Source organism: Homo sapiens, chromosome 17 (genome assembly GCF_000001405.40).
Source record: "Homo sapiens chromosome 17, GRCh38.p14 Primary Assembly".
In the NCBI taxonomy this organism is placed as follows: Eukaryota; Metazoa; Chordata; class Mammalia; order Primates; family Hominidae; genus Homo; species Homo sapiens.
The window spans coordinates 67,979,246-67,985,245 of NC_000017.11; the positions used below are offsets into that span (position 1 = coordinate 67,979,246).

At 38.7% G+C, this 6,000-nt stretch overlaps 1 protein-coding gene across 49 annotated transcripts in view; it reads left to right on the forward strand.

Annotated features, from left to right (window-relative positions):
* The window catches only part of BPTF (bromodomain PHD finger transcription factor), a 158,876-nt gene extending 153,743 nt beyond the window's left edge, over positions 1-5,133 (forward strand). For 40 of the 49 annotated variants that reach the window (XM_005257150.4, XM_005257154.4, XM_005257159.3 and 37 more), the window contains one exon: positions 3,007-5,133. In XM_005257150.4, the coding sequence (XP_005257207.1) occupies positions 3,007-3,043 (37 nt within the window). In that variant the 3' untranslated portion in view covers positions 3,044-5,133. Of the gene's footprint in view, positions 1-2,190 lie in introns of all 49 variants that reach the window. The other 9 variants (XM_005257152.4, XM_024450647.2, XM_047435596.1 and 6 more) reach the window with 2 other exon arrangements.

Consider the following 6,000-nt stretch of genomic DNA (forward strand, 5'->3'; position numbering starts at 1 on the left):
TAACGTAAATAATGACATTGGGCCGGGCACGGTGGTTTACATCTGTAATACCAACACTTTGGAAGGCCAAGGCACGTGGATCATCTGAGATCAGGAGTCGAGACCAGCCTGGCCAACATGATGAAACCCTGTCTCTACTAAAAGTACAAAAATTAGCCAGGTGTGGTTGCACATGCCTGTAATCCCAGCTACTCAGGAGGCTGAGACAGAATCACTTGAACCTGGGAGACGGAGGTTGCAGTGCACCAAGACCGCGCCACTGCACTCCAGCCTGGGCCACAAGAGCAAAACTCCGTCTCAAAGATAATAAAAATAATGACATTGGTTTTCGACTTTTAGAATCACCCTATAGACAAAGCATAGAATGATATAATTTTTAAATTATAGGGAAATAAAACTTGGACTCAAAAAAGGGAGGTTGGGAAATGGTTAAGTGAGCTTGGTTCTCCTTGCCATAGCAGGGCTTAAACAAAAGTTGATAAAACAAGAAATAGCAGTATAAGAAATTACCCTGGCCGGGCGCAGTGGCTCATGCCTGTAATCCCAGCCCTTTGGAAGGCCGAGGCGGGCGGATCACCTAAGGTCAGGAGTTCAAGACCAGCCTGGCCAACATCGTGAAACCCCGTCTACACTAAAATAAAAAAATTAGCTAGGTGTGGTGGTGCACGCTTATAAGTCTCAGCTACTTGGGAGGCTGAGACAGGAGAATCACTTGAACCTTGGAGGCGGAGGTTGCAGATCGCACCACTACACTCTAGCCTGGGCAACAAGAGTGAGACTCCGTCTGAAAACAAACAAACAAAAAAAAACCTACCCAGGCCGGGTGTGGTGGCTTATGCCTGTAATCCTAACACTGTGGGAGGCTGAGGTGGGTGAATCACTTGAGGTCAGGGGTTCAAGACCAGCCTGGCCAACATGGTAAAACCTCGTCTCTACTAAAAATACAAAAATTAGCTGGGCCTGGGGGCAGGCACCTGTAATCCCAGCTACTGGGGAGGCTGAGGCAGGAGAATCATTTGAACCTGGGAGGAGGAGGTTGCAGTGAGCTGAGATCCTGCCACTGCACTCCAGCCTGGGCAACACTGAGGCTCCATCTCAAAAAGAAAAATACATCTACCCAGAGAACTGAAAAGTCAAAGGGATTGATCATAGGGAGCCTGGATTTCAGATGGAGTTAAGGTAGGACAGAGGAGCACAACTTCTCATTATAAGCCCCTCTATGCTTTTTCATTTGTACATCGTGGTTATTCCTCTGGTTCAGTTTCTAAAATTGCTTTTTTAAATTGGGAAGGCCTTTGGTGGTAACTGTGAGGTAGAAGCCAAGGAGTGTGAATCCTACCCTGCTGCCAGCTTGCTGGCAGAGCCCACAGGATGACTGCTGGCAACTGCTGATGAAGGAGAGGAAATTGCCTGGAGGTCCTGGGGACTGTAGGCAAGACAAAGGGAATTGGTAAAGGAGAGATGGAGGCCTAGGCTGGGCCTGCACAGTGAAGGGGCCACTTAGGATGTCTTCTTGCCACGTGGTTATTTTATGTAGTTTTTAAATATACTCAAGTTGACATAATTTTCATTAAAGCACATGGGAGCTGAATTGAGAAGTTTGCTCAATTCTGCTTAAATAAACAAATTAGGCTGTGTGCAATGGTGCATGCCTGTGATACCAACACTTTGAGAAGCCAAAGCAGGCAGTTCGCTTGAGCCCAGGAGTTTGAGACCAGCCTGGGCAACATGGGGAAACCCCATCCCTACAGAAAATACAAAAAATTAGCCGGGCATGGTGGCATGTGCCTGTAGTCCCAGCTACCCAGGAGGCTGAGGTAGGAGGATCACCTGAGCCCTGGAGGTTGAGGCTGCAGTGAGCTGTGATTGCGCCACTGCACTCCAGACTGTGCTACAGAGTGAGACCTTGTTTCAAAACAAAACAAAACAAAACAAAATTACAATGTAAAGAGTTGTATAAGGGCAACTTGCTGTTGCCTTTTTAGGGAATTTCTATTGTTTTCCAGATTTAAGGCAGAATGAAACATAACTAGCCAGTTATTGAAAATTGATTTATTTATGGATTTTCAGAATTTCCTTTGCCATATTTTCCCATTTTATGATCTCCAGCATTGTTTGCACATTGTTTTCATTACTGCACTTTGTTATAATTCATCATTTATACCATCCATATTCTTTCTTTTCTTACAGATTGTGATATCTTTAGTCTGAATTTTTAACTGGAATCAGAACTGGATGTTGGGGTCACTCTTTGTTTTATTGTACCTCGTGATTACCTAATTCAAAATTGCCCCCCAAAAAGTCAGATTAGTTAATATAATTTTTTAATGTTAAAGATGTATCGTGGTAAAAAATTTACTCTAGCAGCCATGTTGAACAATGTATTTAAAAATTGTAAACTCTTGGAATACTGTATTTATCTGCTATTTCAATATAAAGTCCTTTGACTTAGTCCTGGTAACTGTACAGTAATTTGGTTTACTAATGAAAGTTGTGAATAAAACTGTGAAACTAGAAGGGAGACTTTCTGGACTTTAATAGAAAAATGTGATTTTAAGATTGCTTTTTCTTTTGTTTTAGCGTAATTTTTCCCTTTATATTCCCCTCATCAATGTAAATAAACACACACACACACACACACACACACACACACACACACCTTTCACCACAATGGTAATGCTTCTGTAAATGCCTCTATTTGTCCAGTTGGCTGAAAATGTTGTAATCTTTATTAGACAAATATATATATATATATATATATATATATATATATATATATTTAAATATTGGCTTTTTCCAGTGAGCTATTATGTTTAGTGTACAGTGAAAAGTTTTAATATTATAGGTTAAAATTTTCTTAATCGTTCTTTTCTATTCGCTTGCCAAGGGTGAATGAAAGAACATGGCTGCTTCTCCCAGACTGACTGACCTTGGCATCCGCATAAAGCATCATTGTTTTCAAAAATGAAGGGTGCTTAATTGTTCCCTTTTTTCTATATTCTGTAGGTCTCATAACAACAAACTGCAGTCTACAGCTTCTTAAAGTTCAGCGTGTTAACCTAACATAAAACACAGCAAGAATCTGGTTGTCTGAACTATTTTAAATTAAGGAGCCAGATGTTTTTAGTCAGGCTATCCTGACAAGACTTGACCTAAACTTCGTTTTTATTGGTCATAACAGTCCAATTATATTCTTGGCCAATTTTGTCCAACGGACAAGAAAAAAGCAAAGTCAACGACACCATTATCTTGTCAAGATCAGATGGTTTTACTATTGTGGCAGAAGCGAGAAAACTTTGTTTATTGAAAAAAAAAGAAAAAGAAAGCAAGAAAAAAAGATACTATGGGGTCAAGTGTAACTCCATGGAAATGCCACGTCTGCTCTTCAGTGAAGAAGCTGGTTTAGAGTCTCACAGAAAACTTTTGACTGTATTTATTTATTGTTGCAAAAAAGACGCTTTTTTATTGCTGCCCTCATTTGTCAGCTAATTATTTTTTCTTATAAAATCCAGCCCCGGTTACATATAATCATCTGTATCTTATCATGATTCCTGTAGGTAAAAGTACAAGACGACCTCTAGATGTCTTTTCTTTCTATGAAAGGAGCTGCTATGTACACATGTGCACACACACACAACTGGGAATCAACAATGAGTTTATTGTTCATGGTAGATTAAAATTAAGCTTGCATAAAGGTTGGGCTAAGTGGTCCTGGACTACAGACTCTGTTGCCTTGAATATAACAGTACAATTTGTCAATTACTCTGCACCAGGCTAAAATGAGTAAAATCTATTTGAAGGTATCTTGTTTGTAAACATTTGTCAGATTCTAATTTTTTTCTTTTGTATTAAAATTCAACTATGGATGTATATGAAACAAAATAAATGGAGATAATTTTTCTCCCACAGACAGAGGTGTCTTTGAATGTGCGCTAATGATTATCTGTAAGCCTTTGTGGGGAGGGAGGCCTGCAAGGTCATGAAAGGCAGAAGAGTCTAATTGTGCCTGGATTTCTCCAGGACAGCAGTGGCCCCTCGTTTTATCATTCCCAGTCCATTGTCATCACGTCAGAGAAAAATCTTCAGGGGTGCTAATCCTGTTGCATCAGTTGATCATACTAACGAGAACGGTAATGCGACAAGATACACATTGCCTTCATCTGTACATTCTGTGATACCAGGCAAATTACCAATTACACACAGCTACTTATATTTTATGAAGGGCATTTTTTAGATGACCTCATCCTCTGTGTTATTTGTTGATTGGGTTTGTTTTCTGTTTGTTGGTTTGTTTGTTTCTTCCACGTAAGGAAAAGTAGTGTAAACAGTAGCGAGAAAATGGAAACCACAGAGGAAGATGTATTTTGCATGTTTTTCCTTTCAGTGTTCTTACACGTTGTATCACTGCATTGTGGTAATAGCTTCTATAAAATCTGCCATAGTTGGATTATGCAGCTTTGCAAAAATTTTTACTAGATTTTGCACTAACTCATATTAGCTTTGTCCTACCAACTTCTGGAATTTATCTAATTATTGTTTTTCAAAGTTTCTTTCCTTTTAATGTTTCCCTGCTATGCAAAACCTTTCCCAGACCTCAGTTTCTTAAAAGAAAGATGTTGCTACAGTTCCCGATTCTTTCTTATTACAGGCTCAGGTGTACAGGTTATTCTGGGTTAATTTTATCTAATGAAGCCCATTCCTTTTTGTACATAAAGATGTCACTTAAACTTATGCTTACAAACTAAAGACTAATCGCTCAATATGAAAACATGAAAAAATTTTTGCTTAAAGTATTAAGATGGAAGTAGTTAAATATGGGTTATTTTGTCCTTTTACTTTTTTAAAAAATGTTACATATTGTATGCACTGTGCTGATGCAAGAATTCTACATTTTAATGAGTTATAAAATTATTCTGCATCTCATCACGTCACAGTATTTCTGTACTATTTATTCATATATATAAATATATATGGGCTTAATCATTTAAAATTTGTTGCAGCAAGAACTTTCCTACCTGTAGGCAATAGATTGCTATGTTTTTAACAAATTGTGGCAAATTCTAAACAGCAATTCTTTTGTACGTAATAGGACATTTCATCCTAGAAAAATAAAGTAATGTTTTTGACATTGGATTTGGTGCAGTTTCTAATGAAGCAATGGTTGGTTGGTTAATATGTTTTCTATAGCTGTTAGCCTTGCCAAATTGTACAAAAAGGATAAATTTTATGGAAATCTGAAACCAGGAAGATGTTAATTTCATATGTGTATTTAACGGTATAAAGTGTTGTATAGTTTCTATCACCATACAAATACATAGACATTTTATAGTTTCATCAACTACAGAGCTTTAGTCCTTCAGAAGTAATTTTTGAAAAACATACTTCTTTTTTTTTTTTTTTGAGATGGAGTTTCACTGTTGTTGCCCAGTCTGGAGTGCAATGATGCCATCTCGGCTCACCACAACCTCTGCCTCCCGGGTTCAAGCAATTCTCCTGCCTCAGCCTCCCAAGTAACTGGGATTACAGGCATGCGCCACCACGCCTGGCTAATTTTGTATTTTTAGTAGAGACAGGGTTTCTCCATGTTGGTCAGGCTGGTCTCGAACTCCCGATCCCAGGTGATCCGCCTGCCTCGGCCTCCCAAAGTGCTGGGATTATAGACATGAGCCACCACGCCTGGCCTGAAAACCATACATTCTTATAGAACATAATGAATTCCAAAAGCTGCTTTTCTGTGACAAGCAGAAATCTTTGACAAGCTTCTGCTATTCAGAAAGATCTACATAATACAGCTATTTTGCTTCCAATAATTCAGGCAGTAAACTGTACATTTGTGATATTCTTAGGATGTTTCTACCCCAGGCCTTGGGCTTATAAATACATTTAATTTGCATCAATAGATTTCCTTGGCTAAAAGTATTTTCAGTACCTGTTATACTTTACCTGCCAAGTTCACAATCCTTGAAACCATTTCATGAAAAGTATTTTCCTATTGGTAAA